The sequence below is a fragment of the Homo sapiens genome, chromosome 18 (genome assembly GCF_000001405.40).
Source record: "Homo sapiens chromosome 18, GRCh38.p14 Primary Assembly".
Lineage (NCBI taxonomy): Eukaryota > Metazoa > Chordata > Mammalia > Primates > Hominidae > Homo > Homo sapiens.
Genome location: NC_000018.10, coordinates 49,428,151 through 49,452,759, shown reverse-complemented (window position 1 = coordinate 49,452,759; position 24,609 = coordinate 49,428,151). Strand labels below are relative to the sequence as shown.

Sequence of the window (24,609 nt, the reverse complement as noted above, 5' to 3'; positions counted from 1 at the left end):
AGTCCCGCGCTGTGCGCCTGCACTCCTCAGCCCTTGGGCGGTTGATGGGACCAGGCGCTGGGGAGCAGGGAGCGGCGCTCGTCAGGGAGGCTCAGGCCACGCAGGAGCCCACGGCAGTGACTTGGAGAACCTTTATGTCTAGCTGAGGGATTGTAGATACGCCAGTCAGCACTCTGTGTCTAGCTCAAGGTTTGTAAATGCACCAATCAGCACTCTGTATCTAGCTAATCTGGTGGGGACTTGGAGAATCTTTATATCTAGCTCAGGGATTGTAAACGCACCAATCAGCACCCTGTCAAAACAGACCAATCAGCTCTCTGTAAAATGGACCAAATCAGCAGGATGTGGGTGGGGCCAGATAAGGGAATAAAAGCAGGCTGCCTGAACCAGCAATGGCAACCCGCTCAGGTCCCCTTCCACACTGCGGGAGCTTTGTTCTTTCACTCTTTGCAATAAATCTTGCTGCTGCTCACTCTTTGGGTCCACACTGCCTTTATGAGCTGTAACACTCACCGCGAAGGTCTGCCGCTTCACTCCTAAGCCAGCGAGAGCACGAACCCACCAGAAGGAAGAAACTCCGAACACATCCGAACATCAGAAGGAACAAACTCTGGACATGCCGCCTTGAAGAACTGTAACACTCACTGTGAGGGTCTGTGGCTTCATTCTTGAAGTCAATGAGACCAAGAATCCACCAATTCCAGACACACTGCCATGTATAACCCTACTGCAAATAGTAGAGTGAGTATAGCAATTCCCACAAGTGTGGTGTAGTAGATACTTTCCATCTAAAATTTTATTTGCCAAGGTATCCAGATTTTTGTGTTACCCATCTCTTTTTGTTTCTTGTAAGCTTCAGGAGATCACCACTTGATTCACAGGAATAAGCAGTGTTAGTCTAAAATGTAGGCACACAACTTAAAAACAATTAATGTGACTAGGATTTAATGACAAATGTATGATAAGCTTTGGAGCATATTTTCTCTCTCTAGTCCTGATTTTGGTAAAAACAAATTATGATAGGACCGTGTTGTTTGTAGAATAAACCTTAGTCTTATATTTGGCCTTGTTATTTGCATAAAGTTCAGCAAGAGTAATTATTTCTGCATAGTCCTTTTGGATTGGCTTCGATGGAACTCTGTTCCACAAGAAATCTCAGATAAGACTTCTTAAAGCTGAGCCCAGCATGGGTTTGTATCTTCAAATACCTGTGAGTTGGGTGATCCTTTTCTCTTAAGGTCCCAAGATAAACTTGGAGCTCCTGGACCTGTTAGAAAGTGACATTCTTTACTGACCAAAGGTTAGGAACCCTGTGCGGGGACTGTGTAGACAAGGTATGAGGCCAGTTCTTCCCATGGGGCTTTTTCAGCTCTGCAAGTGGAGGTTGACTCCTTAAAGGGAAGCATACACTTCCAGTCAAAGCCTTGATAAAATAGCCAGTTTTTCCATTTGTGTCCTGTTGAAAAAGAAAAATGGATTCTTATTTCACTGATGCAAACAACTATATTGCCATAAGTTAAGAGTTCTCACAGATTAGAGGAACCAGGCAGAGAGAAACAATCATGCTTCAAGTTTTGTTCACAGGAGTATACCTTACTCAATTATTAAAGGCTGTAAATAGTTCAAAATAAGTTTCCTTGACTCTGAAAAACAAACCAAGGATCAGCAATATTCCAAGCAAAAGTCAAAAAGATTGCTTTAGCTTTCTGAGTGTAGTCCATTTAGTCAATTCTTGTTTTGCTTGATATTTGTGAACATTTCAGTTCATGAGTCCTGTACGTTCTTTCTCTCTTCCAATGTTACAATCTTCAAAGCTGTTAAAAACCTGCATTTGAGGACACCTGTTGAAAGTCCTTAATATAGCTTGATTATAAACTGTCTTTTCAGAAGGAACAAAGCAAAACAACAATTGTCTGTGCATGACAAAATTTCCAGGTTACAGTTAAAAACATGACGGAAAAAGTTTAGTTAACCTTAATTATGATTGATAGTATATACTTAGACATTAGAATTTTAGAAATCCCATACAATTTTGGAACATATATTAGTATTATTCACCAAAATATAACTTAAAGAAGATTGGACATCGTTTTGGCAATTCTAATGTGACTAAACATGTCAGATAATCCTGTTTACCTCTTCTCTGGATGTTTCAGGGGCCTTCTGAACAATCCAGAAAGCCAGGCATCAGGAAGGACAATTTTGAAACTTGAAGCTTGATTTTGGGATGCCTTTTAAATGTTAGAGGTTTAAAACACTTGATGTTATGAAATAGAATTCCAAATTGCCATTATTTATTTTGCCAAAATGATGTCACAAAAGGAAAAAATCTTTCATCATCCTTTACTATTACATGAAAATCCTGTTTAAAGCCAAATTTTACCCTTGTATTAGTTTATTAAAGTTGTAAACAACCTTTTGATAAAACCTCATAGGAAAGTTCACCTAATCTTAACCAATGACCATGGGGTGAAGTCTTTACAAACCCTTTACAACCCCTTTTGTTAAACGGCAGATTAGTGTCTTAAGACAGCCTTGCCGTGTTTTTCTTTCAATGCTCAATTTAGGAAAAGACCATATAATACCCTTTTGAATTTAGTTAATGTTTATACATTTTTGCAAGATTAATTTTTGTCTTCCTGTAACTTGCTTAAACCTTTAGCTCTGTCTTATTAAATTTAAGATAATCTCTTATCCCTGGGCAAAATTTATATTTTCATGCTTTCTTATAATCTTTTACTAAAAAACACATTTCACTGTTTTTATAAGCCTTGCATATAAAACTTTAGAGATCTCAAATACATGTTGCACTGTTAACTCTCAGCAACTTTTACTTTAGGTAAAAAACCTGGTTAGTAAGTGATTTTAATTATATACCAGGTGTGGAGTCTAGGACCCAGACAAAGTCAGGCTTATGGGGTCCTGGGCCTGCATCCTAACCTAAGGTACCCTTTCTTTTGACAGAACGCTACAGAAAGACACACAAAGCACACCAGATTGGTTACAGCTTAAGACCAACCTCACAAATTCTTTTTTATTAATTAAAACTTTACAGAGAATAAACAATCATCCTTATTATCCTTGTTACTGGTTTGCACAGGAAGAGATAAGCCAAAATGTTGACTGGTAAAAAAACTTTTACCCTTTTGCCAGCATGTCAGGCTTCTGGGTTCCCTTCCCATTAGCTCAACTCTAAGTCAACCATTTTAAGGTTTGGGGAAATTAACTTTTCCTACTTTGGAGGAACATTATACAGGAAGAGATAGGAACCATTGTACACTGTGAAAGAAGGAAAAACACCATAGAAAAGTCTGGGGATTCCAGTTAGGGTTGTCAAGAGGTACCGCCTCTCTTCCTATTGGGAATTGTGTTTCTCTTATTTCTTTGCCTTCCCTATTTTCTCTTTTCGTTTTAGGCCTACTATAGGAAACGTTGCTTATCTTTCAATTTCTTTGCTGCCTGCTCTTCAGCTGTAATTAGGGTTTGGCTTAGAAGCAACATAAAATCTCTTCATGAGAGGTGAAACACCTGAGTTAAATTTTGGAAAGCTTCTATATACCTATCAGGGTCTTCAGAAAATTGGCCTCAGTCACCTTTATTTGCCTAAGGTCTTGCAAAGAGGAGGGAACTTGAACCCTAGTGACATCACCTCCATTGGGCATTTCCTGTAGAGGTAAGAGTGAAAGTGGGGAGTGGGAAATTTTGGAGATGGTGGAGGTGGAAGAACTGGTGGTATGGTTGGAGGTGGCCCTAAATAAGGGGGACTTGAAGGGCTGGGACACCCAATAGCTGCCTCAGATGATTTCCCCAGAAGTTGCTTCTCTCATTTTGGGGAATTATTCTCTTTGGGCCTGCTCAATATGATTGCTAAAAGGGCTGGGTTAATTCTGTAACGCTTGCAAAGGTCTAGTAAAAAGGCCATGCCCTGTGCAAAAGAAAATGAGCTGCTTTTTAAAGTTTCAGGGTCAAAGAAATCCTTGTGCTTCAGAATGCACTCCAGGGGAGTGCAGGATGAAGATGGTACCCACTTAGAGAAAAAGGTGGCCCTTTAGTCTCCTTCCTTTTGGTGTGACCCATGGTGGAGAGGAAGCAGTGGGGGCATCCCCCCTGCTTTTTTCCCCCTGTGTTTCCTGGGTCCCAGGCACCTTGTTGAACATGCTGCCCATGGTTGCAAGTGTGACCCCCAGTCATGGAACCAGAGGAACTAAGTCACTGGGGCTAGTCATGCTCACCCAAGTGGCTGTAGTCCTCTGCCTGTGATTTCCCTTTAACTTCCTAGACTTGTGTGACTTGCCTGGCTTCCTGAAAAATGGATTTCAAGAAAAACTACATAATAGTTGGGCAAGGCCCCTTTAATGCAGGGGATGTGCTAGATTGAACTCTGTATCCTGCTATTATGGCCTGTGCTGAAGCATTTACCCTTAGATAATGGTTCCAGTTAACTTCCAAACTTAAAATTCCCTTACTAATTAAGTACTACTCTAATTGAAGGCAGAATAGGTGGCTTAAAAAAACTTAGGGATTGAATGGCCATTTTCCTGCTGATGAGACAGTATTGAGACTAAATTTTGGCTTTGGAGGAATATTTTACCCCTAATTGTTGAAGGCAGAGTTTTCTCATTTACAGAACCAGCATAAAGCCTGGTTTCTAGTAGAGAGGCACAAAAAGGAAAGAGAATTGGGAGGCTAGGATGTTTCATTGGACTGACAGTGTGCTTCATGGAGAGGATTCCTATTTCACTAGGTGGCGCTGTTGACCTTGAAACACCACATACTCTCTAGACCAAGGGCAGAGAGAGACCTGGAAAATGCCATGTGCTCTCCAGACCAAGGGCAGAGAAAGAGAGATTCTCACTGTTGGGGGGTCAGGGAGCCCTGTTCTTAGAAAATCACAAAGACGCTTCCCCTTGAGCTATATGCCTTGTTACTACGACATTCCCTGATCTTACCAAACAAGACTACTTCCCTGAACCATAAAACTTCCCACACATTTCATACAGAGAGGATAAGAGATATGACGGTTGCGAACAGGAGAGGAGGAGATTACAATAGGAAAGTTGGAGATCCTGTTGCCGACACCGCATTGGGGCGGTTGGCGGCTGGGGTCCAGAAGCCTTTGGATAACACCAGGGGGTAGCGCCGGCCAGAAATCCTCAGTTGCCCCAGGACTTCTTCCAGCCCCACACGACAGCTAAGTCCTCCATGAAAGGTCTAAAATGGAAGCCGAGAACCTTGGAATGAAAGGACAGAGTTAGAGTTCGCTCTTCCCCTTACCGTTCTTATGAATGTTGTACCTTGGTATCCCGGACAAAGCTGCCATTATGAAGTGGCTACACTATCTGGGGTGTATACCCTAGGGTTTGTTGTTGCCTGCCGAGAAAGAATTAGGACACGGACATGTGGGTGGGTTAAGGAGTGGAAAGCTTAATAGACAGAAGAAAGGAGAGAGGAGAGCAGCTCCTTGAGAAAGAGACGTGTTCGAAAAAGGTACTTTCTGGTCTCTTATGCTTCTGCTTTGATTCCTTTTCTGTTCCAGCCATGTTAAACTTCTTTCAGGTCCTTGAACAGGCCCTACCTGTTATTTCTTAACCACAGGGCTTCACACGTGCTGTTCTCTGCTTTGGAAGTTTCTGAACTCCCACATCCACCCAGGCCAACCCTTCTTGTCCTTTAGGTCTTAACATTTTTTTTTTTTTTTTGTGATGGAGTCTTCCTCTGTCTTGCCCAGGCTGGAGTGCAGTGGCGTGATCTCAGCTCACTGCAGCCTCTACCTCCCGGTTTCAAGTGATTCTCCTGTCTCAGCCTCCCAAGTAGCTGGGATTACAGGCGCCTGCCACCACACCCAGCTAATTTTTGTATTTTTAGTAGAGACGGAATTTCACCGTGTTGGCCAGGTTGGTCTCGAACTCCTGACCTCAGGTGATCCACCCACTTTGGCCTGCCGAAGTGCTGGGATTACAGGCGTGAGCCACTGCACCCAGCTGGTCTTAACTTTTATGGTATGAACTCTTGGAAGCTTTCCCTTGGAAGCTTGAATAGTTGCCATCTTAACATTTCTTGTTGATGTATCCGTATCTCTGTATATCATTCCCTTCTTCACAACTTTAACCTTGGCACTTTGCATACTGCTGGCCACATAGTGGGCACTCAGGAAATATTTATTGACTGTTGATAGGCTTCTTGTGCTTAATGTAACCATAATGTGATGTAGCTTATATATGGCTTATTTGGTTTTTCAACCCTGTACTTGTTCTTTAGTATTTGCACATTGAATTGTTTATATGAATCATTGATTATGAAATAGTAAAGCTCATTCTCTCTTATTTATTTTGATATTTTTTCTACTTAAAGTAATACTTGTATATTGTTAGAAAAGGTAAATAATAATAAAGGCAGGTTATAAAAAATCAGCAGTATCCTTACCCATCCCCACTTTTTAATCTCATTTTCAGAGGCAGTTACTTTTAAGAACTCTGTCTCTCTCTCTCTCTTTTTCTTTTGGTAGAGATGGGGTCTCACTGTGTTGCCCAGGCCGTTCTTGAACTCCTAGCCTCAAATGGTCCTCCTGCCTGGGCCTCCCAAAGTGCTGGGATTACAGGCCTGAGCCACTGCACCTGGCCCTAAAAATTCTTTTAAGCTTTTTCTTTTGATTCTTACCTCTGCGTTTATAAATCTGCCTAAATTGCTATTTTGTGATTTATCAATTTTAGATAATACATATTAACTTCTTGTTATGGTAGGTGGGGTATTCTTCCCTTTCCTTCCCCTATTTCTAAAAGCACTTCCAGTATAGGTATATAAGAATTCTTGGTTAATATAGTGTTTAGCTTTTATATTATTATGACTACATAAATATTGTTCACTGCTGGTGAGTACTTCACCATGTTTCCCCTTCCCTCCCCCTAGTTTGCTTAGTTTTCCATGGATATATTATTAATTTTTACCAAATACTTTGAACGGCCTGTGGGATTTAGTGCCTAAGAAATTGATGCAAGGTGTTACTCTGGCTACTGCTATTGCAGTTGTTTTGTGTCCCTGTTCCAGAGGTTTCATGCCTTTTTCAGCTTTGTCAGTAAAGTAAAATCTCAGATCCCCACCATGCCTGACTTGACAGTGTAACATCCCCCATTTTGTTTGTGCTTTCTTTTTGGAACTGTTACTATTAATATATTAAAATCTTCTAAATTGTTCTTTAAATTTTCTATTTTTTCTCCTCCTGTTTTTCACTTATTTGTCCTCTTGTTCTTTATTATGGGAGTTCCCTTAACTTTTATCTTTTCTCCGTTCTTTTGTTTTAAATTTCAGGTGTCCTTTCTTGTTCTTTATTTCCTTTTTTATGACATCCTACTCTTGCTTCATGAAGCAATATGAAACGGTTAAAAGAGAATGGTTTCTGTACCTATCCTACCTGGGTTTAAAACCTGATGTGCCACTTTCTAGCTCTATAATCTTGGGCAAGTTACTTAACCTTTCTTTGCTTTAGTTTATTCATGTAGGTTAGGAGTTGGTAGACATTTCATCTAAAGGACCAAATCATAAATATTTCAGGCTTTATCAGCCAAGAGGCAAAATGAAGGATATTTTAAATTATTTAATTATTTCATTATGTAAGTACTTACATAACAAGAGAGAAAACATTTCTACAAGTTTTTTATTAATAAAGCTCAAAATGCGATACTAATAATGATTGAGAACAATTTTTGCAATAAAGGTTTGCTAATGAGAAGAATGAATGTTTTTTTGGAGGAGAGGGGATAACATTTGGCTTAATTGGAGTTTAAAGTTAGTGTTCTCTATCATCAAAATTGATTATAGATGCAGCATTAACCACCTATTAATGCTGATTTGTAATGAGATTTCATGTATTTCATCTTTGAAAATGTCTTCTTAGATACTGCCAAATACTGCTAATAGTCTGTGAACATATGGTTTTAATAGAGCATATTCATTGCTTGGACGACATTTACAGAATTCTTTTAGACTCTTTTCTTGATACTTAACGTTTAGCAAATCATTACACTGCAGACTAATCACTTCCAATTGAGGATTAGGTAGAAGCTCCTCATTGCACAGTTAAATGATTTTTGAAATGTGGAATGTTCGTTTCTACTTGCATTGAGGTATGAAAAAATACTGCTGGAAATATTTGATTTTGGAAAATATGTCTGCTGCATATTTGTGTGGCAGTAGAGATCTTCTTATTTTAATTTTTGACAGCATAGGAAGTACATGAAGCATCTTGACATGACTTGTGACTTAGGCAATGTTAGTTGTCCTTGAAATGACTGTCTCAATATAGGTTTTGCACGTAGACCCTGTTGTCCTTCTAACTTTAGGCTGAATTCATTAACAGATATATCAAGTCTGCAGCAACAATAGTAGTTGAGGGTCATTCTTTTCATTCAGAAAAATTTGTCTCAGCCTGGAGCTTGAAACATTTCAGTAAAACTCTGCCATTGTTAAGCCATTGTATTGTTTCGTGGCAGGACGCGTCAGGATATTTAGCTTCTATTTCTGACAAAAATGTCATGAGAACAAATGAAATTTACCTGTGACATTACGGTTCAATAACACATGATAGATTCAGATGTTTTCTGCAGAGTACCTGCTGATTGAGAATATGATTAATAGCCATAAGCTTTAAACACCTTACATTTCACAAGGCTTGTAAATTTTGTCCAGCTAAGCCTTTTTCTGCTTCATACATATTTTTACCACCATCAGTTGTTACACATCTTAGCAGATTCTACTTCAGATTGTGCTGAATTAGTATTTCCTTGATTTTTTGGAAAATATTCATAGCTGTAATTGTTTCATACATACTGTACTTCGAGCCACTGTTTTCATGGAAAGAGTAGGATGTTAAAGATATTTATTTTCTCTGGACACAATTCTTTGGCTGCTGTAATCAAACACAATTTAATTAACTCACCATTGGCAAATACTTTCCTTGCTTGCTTAACAAATGAGCCATTTGGAAATTTACTTCGGTTGCAGCCCTATTTCCATTTTTAATTTTTGGCAAGACATTCTGCTCTGAGGAGGTATATCTTGTTTTACATTTGCCCATTTTCCTGCTCATTGCTCTCATGAGTTGGGAGTGAATGCTGTGTGGCAGGGCATATCGGGATATTGTGATGAGTGCTTAGTCTAGTAATACTTCCTATATTGTATTTTGCTGGCACAGCTTCGTGATGCTTTTACATAATAAAGTACTTTGACATCTAACTAGATTTAAACAATCTACAGTCCACTGTGACTTACAAGTGTGACATCAGAGTACTTCTGTTTTTTTGACGTGATAGTCACTGGTAAAATAGTTATAGTATGGCAATACTCATGACACTTGAAATGCTGTTGAGTAAACCGTGTCATTGAGATTTGTGGTGCACTGAGAGTATAAAGGGATGAGGGCACCAAATATGATCTCTGTAGCAACTACCCAAGTCTGCTGTTGTATCAGGAAAACAGCTATAGACCATGTGTAAACAAATGAGCATGGCTGTATTCTAATAAGACTTTATTGACACTGAAATTTTCTTTTCATATAATTTACACATGTCACAAAATATTCTTTTGATTTTTTTCAACGATTTAAAAATGTAAAAATCAGGTTGGGCGCAGTGGCTTATGCCTATAATCCCGGCATTTTGGGAGGCTAATGTGGGCAGATCACCTGAGGTCAGGAGTTTGAGACCAGCCTGGCCAACATGGTGAAACCTGAAAATACAAAAATTAGCCAGGCATGGTGGTGCATGCCTGTAGTCCCAGCTACTAGGGAGGCTGAGATGAGAGGATTGCTTGAACCCGGGAGGCAAAGGTTGCAGTGAGCTGAGATTACTCCACTGCACTCCACCCTGGGTGACAGAGCAAGACCCTGTCTGAAAAAAAAAAAAAAAGTAGGAATCATTCTTCAGGCAGCACATAGGGTTTAGCCCTTGGGCTGTAATTTGCCAATTTATGATTTAGGCAATGAGAAAAAAAAGTACCACGCCATAGTTTGTGGTGAGTGTAAAATCAGTTAGTATATGTGAAACAGTTAAGATGGTGACTGGGGACATAGTAGGTGCTAAATACATGTTTGGTATTATTGTTACTGTTTTCATTATTATCTATCTAAAGATATTTTAGTTTTTAATTTTTTCTTAGAATCATCTGTTTTCTATGATTCCTTTCTTTAGTTTGTTTCAGTTTCTTTTTTTTATTTTTGAGACAGGATCTCCCTCTGTTGCCCAGGCTGGAGTGTGGTGGCACGATCACAGCTCATTGCAGCCTTGACCTCTCAGGCTCAGGCAATCCTCTCACCTCAGCCTCCCAAGTAGCAGGAACTATAGGCGTGCACCACCATGTCTGGGCTAATTTGTTTATTTTTTTGTAGAGGCATTAAAAATGTCTCTGTGTTGCCCAGGTTGATCTCCAAGTCCTGGGCTCAAGTGATTCTTTTGTCTTGGCTTCCCAAAGCGCTGGGATTCTAGGAGTCAGTCACCATGCCCGGGCTGCTTTGGTTTCTATATTTCATGCTGGAGGCTTTACTCACAAGTCTAATCATTTTTGACTGTCCATTCTTATTTAAAGTTGAGACTACCCAAAAACTGATTGGAAGCTCTTTGTGTAAGTAGATTTTGTTGAGTGGTGGGCATTGCTGTGAGGTGACGATCTATTTTTTAAATTGGCCTGGCAGTTCCTAAATTTCTGTATCTTTTCCCTAGGTTCCTATTCAGTTTCTCTTGAGAGGAATCCTTCAGTCTCCTGCCTTGGAGGCAGGGAAACTCACTGTGGAGCTGTAGCAAGTTGACTTTATCTTCATTCTCTTGTTTTCTTCATTTTCCACCTTATTACCCTCCCCAACCTTGGCATTGGTCTCTCTAGTTGTATTTCTCTGGGAAGCACGCATAATAGTCTTTTCCTGGGGAGAGAGACCCCCAGGCTTTAGTCCTGCACCTTGCCCCGTCTTCCCCAGTGCCCTGTCTCTCGCTCTTTAGCCTTCCCACGGCTCCATGGGGTGAATTGCCTTCCTTCTTGTTGGTGTCCCCCTTGGCAGGAACTCCTTTTGGGGCTTCCTCAGGTCGGCTGGTTCAGGTACACTCCTCTGTCACCTTCCCATCTTCCACACTTCCCTTGATCTGATCTTTGTGGGTTTATATCTTTCTTTCCATTGCTTTCGTTTCATTGGGCGGGGAATACCCAACTGTACTTAATATAGCACTTGGAGCCTAGTTGCCTTTCAGAGAATGTTCTATTACTTGTGGACTCATGGCACCTGTGGCATTTACTCTGTCCTTTGGCTGGTGATTATTGCCCATTATTTCTCTGATCTCCTGTTTCAGCTTTCTCCTTAAAGTCTCTGAGGTACAAGTGGGGCATATATGTGTGTTTGTACACACAATCCATATATATAATATAATTATATATTAATTATATATAATTATATTATATATAATTATATATTAATTATATATAATTATATTATATATAATTATATAATATATATTATATAATTATATATAACAATATTATGTATATTATATATAATATAATTATATATAATATATATAATATATAATATATTATATATAAATATATAATTATATAATATATAATATATATTATATTATATAATATATTTATATAAATATATAATATATTTATATTAATATATATTTATATATAATATATAATATAATATTTATATATAATATATATAAATATATTATATATTTATATATTATATATAAATATATATAATATATAATATATAAATATATTATATATTATATATAATATATTATATAAATATAATATATTTATATAATATATTATATATTATATAATATATTATATAAAATATAATATATTTATATAAATATATTATATATATAATATATATTATATATAATATAAATATATAAAATATAATGTATTTATATAAATATATTATATAAATATATAATATATAGTCATATATTATATAAATATATAATATATAGTCATATATTATATAAATATATAATATATAGTCATATATTATATAAATATATAATATATAGTCATATATTATATAAATATATAATATATAGTCATATATTATATAAATATATAATATATAGTCATATATTATATAAATATATAATATATAGTCATATATTATATAAATATATAATATATAGTCATATATTATATAAATATATAATATATAGTCATATATTATATAAATATATAATATATAGTCATATATTATATAAATATATAATATATAGTCATATATTATATAAATATATAATATATAGTCATATATTATATAAATATATAATATATAGTCACTTTACTCCTAAATATATATTATATAGCATATATAATATGCTATATTATATATCATATATAATATGCTATATTATATATCATATACTATATTATATATCATATATAATAGTATATGTATATTTAGGAGGAAAGCGATTCTGGAATAGAGTGTAGAATTTGTGGATTATCAGCCTGAGAAGGGACAAAGGGCATTAGGGCATCATTTACACATTTTGAGGGTGTTAGAACAGAATTTGGTTATCATGGATTTTCAGATCCACTAATGTTTACTTTCCATTTAAGGCACATCAAATCAAGAGATAGTCAGTACACATAAAAGAGGAGATTGACTTTATGTATTTATCAAATATTTCACAAATATAAAATATTGAGCATATCATGTTTTATTTATTTATTTATTTATTTATTTATTTATTTATTTATTTATTGGTGACAGAGTCTCCCTCTGTTGCCCAGGCTGAAGTACAGTGACATGATTGTATAATAGCTCACTGCAACTTCAAAATCCTGGATTTCAGGTGATCCTCCTGCCTCAGCCTTCTGAGTAGCTGGGACTACAGGCTTATTAGCTGTGTTGCCTGGCTAATTTGTAAATTTTTTGTAGAGACAGAGTTTTGCTTTGTTGTCAAGGCTGGTCTTGAACTCAGCTTCTGGAAATCCTTGTACCTTAGCCTCCCAAAGTGCTGGAATTACAGGCATGAGCCACAGTTCCTGGCCTGTTACCAAGTATTTTTTAATGTTTACTAGTTTGATGGGTAAAAATGATATATTATTGTTTTAATTAGCATATTGTACTCAGAATTTAGTCTGAAGATCTTTTCATATATTTATTAGCTGTGAGACCTTGGCTATTTCAGCAAGTATTTTTTGAGTAATTTCTCTTTAGCAGTATGCTGGAGATTGATTAGGGATAAGGAAGAAGTGTAAGGCCTGATTCATGCCTCTCAGGAATAATCTACCTGGGGAGATATGTTATATGTACTACAGCAAAATAACATTTCAAGGCAGCTTTTACGTAATTGCAGCTTTAGGGGAGTAGTGGAGAGTTTTAAGGGGTAACAGGGAGGAATGATAGAATCAGTTTTGCACATGTTAAGATTGAGTTCTTGACTACATTGCATTGAAGATAGGTCCTTTGAAAGGTTTACTACTAAAAGCATCAGCAATAGCCTACTTCTCATTTCTAGCATAGAGTTACATAAGGATCATTGTTACCAACAAACTTACTGATTATATTATATATATTACCCTTGAGTTAAAAAAAGTCTGAAATATTTTAGAGATATCAACAGAACTGGCTTCCTGGCCAGAGGTTGGGTCTAGAAGGAGAAATTTGAAAGTAGTATCATGGAAGCCACTAGAAAAGCCAGGAGATGGGATCAGTTACTGACAGATTTAGAGAAAGAAGAGCTGGAAGCCAAGGGAGTCTAATGATGCCCAGTGAGGGCAAAGGCAGTAGGACTCTTTGGAGATTATCCAATAGTGTTTTCTACTTTACTCTAGTTTTCATTGATAAGGGTCTTGAGAGTTCCAAATAAATTGGGAGCCGACGATTGTGCGTGTGTGTTTGGAATCCTTGGCAGGAATCATTGCAGAAGAGATGCCATTGGGGCTCAGTTTTCTACTTTGCTTTTTGTGGGGGAGCAGGTGGATCTTTCTGGCAAGAGTGCCTCAGTGGCTACTGGTCTTACTATGTCTGAACTTATTCCTCCTGTATACTCCAGGTGCCCAGGGTGTTGCCTTCACTCTGTTCCTAGCAGGTAGCACCCTGTTGTTGCTTCCTGTGGGAGTGAGGGCTTAGGCAGGGGTGTCTGCTCAGGTGCACTAGCCAAGCTTCTGTTAGTTGCTTGTGGGCCTTTTTCTGGCCTTTCTGCTTTTGTGCCGGAGTTCCTGTTCACACTCTTTGGGATGGTGCCCTTGAAGGCCCTTGAGCCTGCTCTGGGATGCTATTTCCCTTTTTAGCCCATCTCCAGCTGTTTTCTACTTTATGGGGATTCTTCACAGCTTCTGGCCGCCTGTTATTTTTTTAGCATGGCTGTGTAATCACTGGCTATTTAAAAAAATATGATTTATATTATTTCTAGGGTTTGGTGAGAAAAAACGGGGAAGGAGGCACTGTACTCTTTACTCAATTGGCTGTCTCGATTTTTTTTGTTAACATTCTGTTCAGTGTCTCTCCTGATATGCTTGTAGGCTTTATTCATACTGTTTTAGAAAGATTTCATAGTGTTCTTGGACTGAGCAGTTATTTTGATTTATTAATTTTATTTTTGATACAAAGTCTTGCTCTGTTGCACAGTGCAGTGGTGTAGACGTGGCTCACTGCAGCGTCGAACTCCTGGGCTCAAGCGATCCTTCTGAGTAGCTGGGACCACAGGCTTGTGCCACCACGCCCAGCTAGTTTTTAAATTTTTTGTATAGATGGGGTCTTGCCCAGGCTGGCCTCGTACTCCTGGGCTCAAGCAATCCTCCTGCTCTGTCTCCCAAAGTGCTGGGATTACAGGTGTACAGGTGTTTGATTTAAGACTTAATTTTGTGGTCTATCCTAGCCTCTTTGAAAATAAAGTTTATTTCCTATAAACCAATAGAAAACAGTCATAGGATATGAGCAGGTAATGGTCTTATTCACGGCAAGAGAGATGCAAAATAAAATTGTATTGAAAAACTGCTTTTTAAAAAAAATCTAAGTTGGCAAGGATCAGAAAGTTTGATTAAACAATGGTGGCTGTGGAGTAGAGAAATAGGCGTTGCTGGTGAGAATCCAAGTTGGTACAACCTCTGTAGAAGGCAGCCAGGCAGTATCTATCAAAATTACAGATGCATATACCCTTTGACCCAGCAATTCTATTTCTCTGGATTTATCATATCTGTCTACTCATACATGTGTGAAATATTTTATATGCTTATGTAAGTGATAGTATAAGATATAAGTAATGTATATATCTTATTGGAGAATGACATTTATTTTTTATTACTTGGAGAATGATTTGTAATAGCAAAAGATGTAGACTACCTAAAGTCCATCAATATGGTATTTGAGAAATTATAAAATGGAATGTTACACAATTGTAAAAAGGAATGAAGTGCTTCATATATGGATATATAATGACTTCCTATATATTGATGAGTGGGAATAGCAGAGTAGAGAGGAATATGTCATATGCTATGGTTTGTTTAAAAAGGGGTTGAACATATGTTTGTATATACACAGAATGTCTGTGGAATGATGCCCAAGAAACTGTGAATGTTTTCTCTGAGTTGAGAAGGTGGTTAGAAGATGGGATGGGAAGGAGATTTTCACTGTCTATCCTTTGAAGCTTTTGTATTTTGTACCATGAATATTACTGATACAAAAAGAACATAAAATAAACAGAAACATCTGACAAATTTTGTTAGTAGACTCTTTGATAGTATTGTTTCTCGTTGTTGCTTCACCTGGTGGGAGGAGGAGGTTGATTCCAAAATCAAATTTTGTTCTTTTGAAAATTCAGCATTCATGTACTTAAACTCCTAGAGTAAAATTGCTTGCTTTTAAGTTACCACACAAAAAAAGTAAGATACTGGTCTATTTAACTGAGAACAAATTGTTATGATTTTCATTTCTTTTGATCTGGTGTCATTTTTTTCCTGTTAATTTTAATGAAGCACAGAGAAGGAAAATTGAGTACATGGTAGAGCCAGGAGGACCCATATTTAAATTGCTGTCAGCAAACCAACACTCTTTGAACTAACCCACTTTCATCCATACAGTTAGAGGTACTTATTCAGTACACTAATATTAGACCTACAATCCTAACTGCTAATTAGCATGAGTCCCCTGATAAATAGCACACTGTAAACAAGTAGTCAAGGTCTTTTTTACTCGTTTGTTTAAACATATGGTTTATTGAGGCATATTCAGGGTCACAGGGATTATTGGACAAATAAAAATAATTTGAAAGCTTTGGCTAAAAAGGAACTAGCAATATCCTTAAGGAGGTGGTGGAAGACAAAATCTGTTGTATACTCCTCAGAGTTAATGAAATTAATGCAGAATCCCAGAGGACCCAAGAACATTACTTATTTTGCTTTTATTGAAAAAGTTCAATTTTGAATAAAATCTGAAAGAAATAATTTATTGGGTAGCTGGGAGAGGTGGCTCATACCTCTAATTCCAGTGCTTTGGGAAGCCTAGGCAAGAGGGTCTCTTGAGGCCAGGAGATTGAGATTAGCCTCAGCAACATAGCAAGACGCCCATCTCTATAAAAAATTTAAAAAAGTTAGCAGGGTGTGATGGCATGTATCTGTAATCCCACCTACTCAGAAGGCTAAGGCGGAAGGATTGCTTGAATTCAGGAGTTTGAAGCTACAGTGAATTATGTTCATGCCACTGCACTCTAGTGTGGGTGACAGAGTGAGACCCTATCTCTAAAATAAGTAAATAAATTTATTTTGGAAAACTAGTCTAAGTGAAAGAACATTCTGTAATAGGACACCGAGTAACTAGAATATGAGATCCTAATATCTCATCATGTTTAATATGGACGATGAAGTAACAATATGTAAAAACAATCCTAGTGGTTGTGAAAGAAAGTACCTATTAGTCTGATTTGTTGGCACCTCTCTGGGACATGTAGATTCTTTTTTGTTTGTTTGTTTTTGTTTTTTTTGAGATGGAGTGTTGTTCTTGTTGCCCAGGCTGGAGTGCAATGGCACGATCTCGGTTCACTGCAACCTCCACCTCCAGGGTTCAAGCGATTTTCCTGCGTCAATCTCCTGAGTAGCTGGGATTACAGACGCCTGACACTTCACCTGGCTAATTTTTTGTATTTTTAGTAGAGATGGGGTTTCACTATGTTGGCCAGGCTGGTCTCTAACTCCTGACCTCAGGTGATCCACCCACCTCAGCCTCCCAAAGTGGTGGGATTACAGGCATGAGCCACTGTGCCCGGCCTTGTGGTTTTAATTGAGCATTTTATGAGATTAGATTTCTCTTTTCTTAGCATTTCAATTATACTTTTTTTTTTTTTTTTTTTACTGTTTTAGTGTTTACCCTAGAGTTTGTAATCTACATTTACAAGCAATCCAAGATTGCTTTTAAATAATACAATAACAACATCACCACTTCACAGTTTGCACAATACCTTATAATAACAAAGCATTCCTAATTCTTTCTGCCTGTCTGTTGCATTTTCAGTTCACATATACATTGCTGTCCTTCATTTCACTTCTTTTTTTTTTTTTTTTTTTTTGAGATGGAGTCATGGTCTGTTCCCCAGACTGAAGTGCAGTGGCATGATCTTGGCTCACTGAAACCTCTGCCTCCTGGGTTCAAGTGATTCTCGTGCCTTAGTCTCCCTAGAAGCTGGGATTATAGGCGCACACCACCATGCTGTGCTAATTTTTGTATTTTTAGTAGAGATGAGGTTTTACCACGTTGGCCAGCCTGGTCTTGAACTCCTGACCTCAAGTGATCCGCCTGCCTTGGCTTCCTAAAGTGCTGGGATTATAGGCATGAGCTACCACACCTGGCCCAAAAGTTTTTAATTTGATGAAGCTCAGTTTATAAATTTTTTTCTTTTATGGGTTGTGCTTTTTTTGTTGTTGTTGTTGAAATCTCCATGCACCACCACACCTGGCTAATTAAAAAATTTTTTTTAGAGACAGGGTATTGCTATATTGCCCAGGCTGGTATCTAACCCCTGTCCTCAAGTGATCCTCCTGCCTCAGCCTCCCGAGTTGCTGTGATTACAGGCGTGATCCACTGTGCCTGGCCAGAAAATATTTTATTTTTAATCAAAGTAGTATATGGATGTGATTTTGAAAAGTCAACTAATATGACAAACTTAATATAAAAAACTGCTCTACCACCCTCCCCACTCCAGAGTCCTTTTCCACAGGGGTGGCCACTTTCTTTTTCTTTTTTGTTTTGTTTTTTTGAGATGGAGTTTAGCTCTTATTGCCCAGGCTGGAATGCAATGGTGCAGTCTTGGCTCACTGCAACCTCCGCCTCCCAGGTTCAAGTGATTCTCCTGTCTCAGCCTCCCAAGTAGCTGGGATTACAGGTACCTGCCACCATGCCCAGCTAATTTTTGTATTTTTTTTTTTTTTTTGAGATGGAGTCTTGCTCTGTTGCCCAGGCTGGAGTGTAGTGGCAAGATCTCAGCTCACTGCAACCTCCACCTCCCAGGTTCAAGTGATTCCCCTGCCTCAGTCTCCCTAGTAGCTGGGACTACAGGCGTGTGCCACCACACCTGGCTAATTTTTTTTTGTATTTTAGTAGAGACGGGGTTTCACCATGTTGGCCAGGATGGTCTCGATCTCCTGACCTCACGGTCTGCCCGTCTTGGCCTCCCAAAGTGTTGGGATTATAGGCGTGAGCCACCGCGCCCAGCCTAATTTTTGTATTTTTAATAGAGACAGGGTTTCATCCTATTGGTCAGGCTGGTCTCAAACTCCTGTCCTCAGGTGACCCATCCGCCTTGGCCTCTCAGGGTGCTGGAATTACAGGTGTGAGCGACCGCGCCTGGCCACCATTTAAAAATCTATAAGCTGTTGCTTTTTGCTATTTACCTCCTTATTTATTTAATTTGAGACAGAGTTTCACTCTGTCGCCCAGGCTGGATTGCAGTGGCACAATCTCGGCTCACTGCAATCTCCACTTCCCAGGTTCAGGTGATTCTCGTGCCTTAGCCTCCTGAGGAGCTGGGATTATGGGCATGCTCCAACATGCCTAGCTAATTTTTGTATTTTTAGTAGAGACGGGTTTTCACTATGTTGACCAGGTTAGTCTCGAACTTCTGGCCTTAAGTGATCCACCTGCCTCGGCCTCCCAAAATGTTGGGATAATACCACACCTGGCCCTACTTCCTTATTTATAACTAATAAATTTTTACTGTTTTTTGATTTACTAACTTTACATATTTTCTATTGAGCACTACCTATTATGGAAGATGAAGGTTTAGCACTCGTAGACCACCAATCCTGCTGCTGCTTCTGGAATCTTCTCAGTAGAGTTAACTCACAATTTTTGGTTAAATATTTAGTATTTATATCATAGTGATTATATAAATGTTGATTACTGTTGAATTTAGTCGTATACTATGATTACATGACCTTTCTTGAATAACTTGTTTTTCCCAAAGTTTGTAGTCTATACGAAATTATTTACTTTATTCTCCATATAACTATTATTCATTGCTTCCAAATTCTCCTACAGTATTGTAACATTCCACAGAATAAGGTTAGACGCATCAAGTGAACCGTCAGTTCTATGCTTTCTTCTCCTGGTTGATCCGGGAGCTGTTTTGACTCTTGTCCCAGCCTGCTCCATGGCTGTGATTCTCTATACCACTGCCCTGTGTTGGATCCCCTGTTTCTTGAATTTCTTCCTTTTTCTTGGCTTGTTCCCTCATGTGGAAGGAGTACATCTTGTAGCTTCCTTGTAGGTTCCTGGGAGGTCTTTTGAATCTTGGCAAATCAGAAAATGTTTTTATTCTACTTTCAAACTTAATTGGTAGCTTGAAAAGCTATAGATTTCTAGTTAAATTAATTCCTCTTGGCCAGGCTCAGTAGCTCATGCTTGTAATGTCAGCACTGTGGTTGAAGCCAAGGCAGAAAGAGTTCGAGACCAGCCTGGGCAACACAGTGAGACCCCATCTTTACCAAATAACAGAATATTAGCTGGGCTTTGGTGGCATGTACCTGTAGTTCCAGCTACTTAGGAGGCTGAGGCAATGAGGCTCCCTTGAGCCCAGGAGTTTGAGGTTACAATGAGCTATAATCACGCCACTGTACTCCAGCATTGTACTCAGCAACAGAGTGAGGCCCTGTTTCTTAAAAAAAAAAAAAAAAAAAAAATTTTAATGCTGGTACTAGCTATGAATAAATCCATAATATTTTTTGCCAGTTTTAAAATCTTATAAATGAAAGCATACCATATCTATTAGGTAGCTTGCTTTTTTTTTTAAACATTTTATATTTTTGAGATGTATCCATTTAGCTCTGTTTCATTCATTTTCACTAGTGTATTATGTCCCCATATAATTTTGATAGCTTAAAATACTATTGTAAGTTAGGAATTTATATATTTCAGAGAATTTCTTTCTTTCTTTTTTTTTTTTTTTTTTTGAGACAGTCTTGCTCTTGTCGCCCAGGCTGGAGTGCAATGGTGTGATCTTGGCTCACTGCAACCTCTGCCTCCTGGGTTCAAGTGATTCTCCTGTCTCAGCCTCCCTAGTAGCTGGGATTACAGGCATGCACCACCATGCCAGACTAATTTTGTATTTTGAGTAGATCGCCTCAGGTGATCTGCCCGCCTTGGCCTCCCAAAGTGCTGGGATTACAGGCGTGAGCCACAGCGCCCGGCCTTCAGGATATTTCTTTTATAGCATTTTCTAATTGGGCTTAACAAGCCCTACTTTAAGAAATTAAACCTTATGATTAGCTGTCTTAATATAGAGGCTTAATTGAAGCTGAATTATGATTCAGTTGAAGTTGAATTGAGTTATTGGGGCCCCTGTCCCCTTGCAGGAAGGATGAAAGTAGTGGCTAGCCTCAGCTTTAGGGGCAGGCGATGAGGAGCCAGATCAGTATTTCTATCTCAGATTCAGAAGACCCAGCTGTCCATGTGCATCATCGGGGAAGCATCTTGCTCTCAGAATAAGCAGCTCAATCCAGCTCCCAAATTCTGACCGTGGCTTCAGTGCCTTTGTGGAATGAGAAGGGACATGAGGAAGAAAGTGAGTCACTAATACACATTCTCACCTGACCTGAGCCGCCTTTGGTCCCTGAGGCCATGTAGTTTCCTTTCATTGTGATGGTAATTTTAAAATAGTATAATGTATTATTTATCTTATCACCATTTTATTATTCAATGGGAGAACTTTTCTGAACAAATCAAGATAAAACATGATCTAAATCTATGTTAAGTGTGATTTAAGGGAGACAGTGATTCATATTTGTAACTAGTTTTCTTCCCTTAGTGACTGAGAACAACCAATACTGACTTTTGAAGAGCCTCGTGGATACTAATTATTTATTCACTCCCTTGTTCCTTCAACATACTGTTTAGGGAATTTTTTACATGCTAGTCTAGACAGTGGGCATAGACAGATGAATGAGATAATTCCTGTCGTAAAAATGTGCATGGTTTAGGGGAAGAGGCATATCAACTAAAACTGCATATGTGCCCTACAGCAGAATGACAGAAACATTAAATGTGATTCCTTTGTAATTGGGATCTCTTTCACTTGAAGTTGGTAATTCAGGTTTGTCCCTATGACCCCCATAAGTAGAAGTAGCACATGGTAATTACTTGAGCTATGTTCCCTTCCTTGTACATTCAAGCCATCCAGATTTCTGTATTTCTTTGTCACCATTGTTTTGGTTGTAAAACAGCTTCATTTTCAGACTAATTATAAGTTACCATTATTATGATTTTGCTTTGAGACATTTTCTTGGGTAGAGCTATGCCCATCCTAAGATACATGGTACAAGTACAATATAGATTCGGATTTTTGTGTTTGTATTGGCTAAGACAGGTGTTAGCTCCATATTTCTTTTTTTTTTTTTTTTGAGATGGAGTCTTGCTCTGTCGCCAGGCTGGAGTGCAGTGGCGCGATCTTGGCCCACTGCAACTTCTGCCTCCTGGGTTCATGTGATTCTCTTGCCTCAGCCTCTTGAGTAGCTGGGACTACGGGTGCGTGCCACCACGCCCAGCTAAGTTTTGTATTTTTAGTAGAGACGGGGTTTCACCGTGTTGGCCAGGATGGTCTCAATCTCTTGACCTCATGATCTGCCCGCCTCAGCCTCCCAAAGTGTTGGGATTACAGGCGTGAGTCACCATGCCTGGCCTAGCCCCATATTTCTTGTAACTTTGTATCTGATGTCTAATATATTTATAAATACAGAAATGTGTGATTTTCTTTAGTAAGTTTATAGTTTTTTTATAGGTAGACAAAGCATGATGACTTTTGAACAAGTTTAAAGTTTTTATTTTTATTTTTTATAGGTTGTCTTTTGGAAATGCAGGTTTAAGGACAAATTATCTGCTTAAGCTAGAAGATGGGATCGAATAGCAGCAGAATCGGCGATCTTCCTAAAAATGAGTACTTGAAAAAGTTATCAGGCACGGAATCTATCTCTGAGAATGACCCGTTCTGGAATCAGCTTCTCTCATTTTCTTTCCCTGCACCAACTAGCAGGTAAGAGATTGCCTGGAGATTGAAAATTTGAATAGAGGGCCATATCAACTTGTGTGGTATGCTGATTAAAAAAAAATTTAGAAATGTTCTGTCTATCTATCTAGTCTATCTGTCATACATAGATCAGTAGAAAATCCAAAAGATTTGAAAGTAGAAAATAAGCTTTTCTTTTTACCCAACTCAGTAGCCACCTCCCTTCTCTAGAGGTTATCACTGGTAGCAGTTTATTTTGAATCGTTCTAGAGATAATATAGGTTACTTAAGCATATATCCCATATAGTTTCACAAAATTGTTTAAATACAAATGGTAGCATACTACACGTACTGTTCTGTCCCTTGCCTTTTTTTCCACAGTTAAGTAAAATATATCTTGTATATGTAGCACATTTGCAACTTCCTTATTCTTTTTAATGGCTGTGGAGTATCTGTAGAATATATTTAATTGGTTTTTCTGTTGATGAACATTTAGATTGTTTCCAGTCTTTGTTGTAACAGTTACTGCCGCATACATCATTTTTCATACACACAATATATCTTTAGTATAAATTCCTTGAAGTAGAATTGCTGGGTCAAAGTGTATGTGCATTTGCAATTTGGTAGCTATGCCAAATTGTGCACCATGGAAGTTGTAGCAATTTGCATACCTACCAGCAATGCATGAGAGGTGTGTTTCCCCATATCTTTGTCAGTTTGATGCATTTTAGACCTTTGACCTCTGCCAGTTTCAGAGGTGAAAAATAATATCTCATATTTAATTCTATTACAAAAACTGTCAGACAATAATAATGAAGAATGAATAGAATATTGAATTCCCATACACTCAATAACTAGATTTAAAAATTTTTTATTTACTTTTTAAGAGCTTTATTATGATAGGCAGAATAGTAGCCCCCCAAAGATGTCCATGTCCTTGTCTGCAGAATCTGAATATGTTACATTACATGGCAAAGGGGAATTAAAGTAGCAAAAGGCATTAAGGTTACTAATCAGCTGACCTTAAAACAGGGAGATTATCTTGGATTATCTGGGCAGGCCCAAAGTAATCACAAGGCTTCTTGAAAGTGGAAGAGGGAGGTAGAAGAGAAAGTCAGATGTGATGTGAGGAGGACTCAGCCTGCCCTTGCTGGCTTTGAAGATGGTAGGGAGGTCATGAGCAAGAAATATGAGCAGCTTCTAGAAGCTGGCAGAGGCAAGGATGCAGATTTCCCTCTAGAGCCTTTGGAAAGGGATGCAGCCTTATTGACATCCTGATCTTAGCTCATTGAGTGTCAGACTTCTGACCTACAGAACTGTAAGATAATAAATTTATGTTGTTCACACCACTAAATTTTGATAACTTTTGTAGTAGCAATAGAAAAATAATACACTTTTTGAGATATGTTTCATATATCATGTAATTCACCCATTTAAAGTGTATTATTCAGTGTTTTTATTCACAGAATTGTGTAACAATCACCAATTTTAGAACATTATCATCCCAGAAAGGAACCATCCCATGCCCTATCCCATGCCCATTAGCAGACACTCCCCCAAACTCTAGATTGCACTAGCAACCACTTATTTATTTATTTATTTTTTGAGAGGGAGTCTCAGTCTGCTAGAGTTCAGTGGCGCGATCTCTGCTCACTGCAAACTCTGCCTCCTGGATTCAAGCAATTCTTCGGCCTCAGCCTCCCGAGTAACTGGGCTTAACGGTTGCATGCCTTCATGCATGGCTAATTTTTGTATTTTTTGTGGAGATGAGATGTCACCATGTTGGCCAGGCTGGTCTCGAACCCCTGACCTCAAGTGATTCACCTTCCTCAGCCTCCCAAAGTGCTGGGATTACAGGCGTGAGACACTGCGTCCAGCCACTAATTTAATAACTACTACTAACTTTGCCTCTTCTAGACGTTTCATGTAAATGAAATTGTAACAATAGGTGGTCTTTTGTGACTGGCTTCTTTCTTTTTTTTTCTTCTACCTTTTTAGAGATGGGGTCTTGCTCTGTTACCCAGGCTGGTCTTGAACTCCTGGGCTCAAGAAATCCTCAGCACCCCAAAGTGCTGGGATTACAAGTGTGAGCCACTGCGCCCCGCCGTGACTGGCTTCTTTCACTGAATGT

General features: G+C 38.3%; 1 protein-coding gene across 41 annotated transcripts in view; it reads left to right on the top strand.

Annotated features, from left to right (window-relative positions):
• The window catches only part of DYM (dymeclin), a 424,259-nt gene that overhangs the window by 7,886 nt on the left and 391,764 nt on the right, over nucleotides 1-24,609 (top strand). For 40 of the 41 annotated variants that reach the window (NM_001374439.1, XM_047437559.1, XM_047437553.1 and 37 more), the window contains exon 2: nucleotides 22,313-22,505. In NM_001374439.1, the coding sequence (NP_001361368.1) occupies nucleotides 22,366-22,505 (140 nt within the window). In that variant the 5' untranslated portion in view covers nucleotides 22,313-22,365. Of the gene's footprint in view, nucleotides 1-3,415; nucleotides 3,674-22,312; nucleotides 22,506-24,609 lie in introns of all 41 variants that reach the window. The other variant, NM_001374428.1, reaches the window with a different exon arrangement.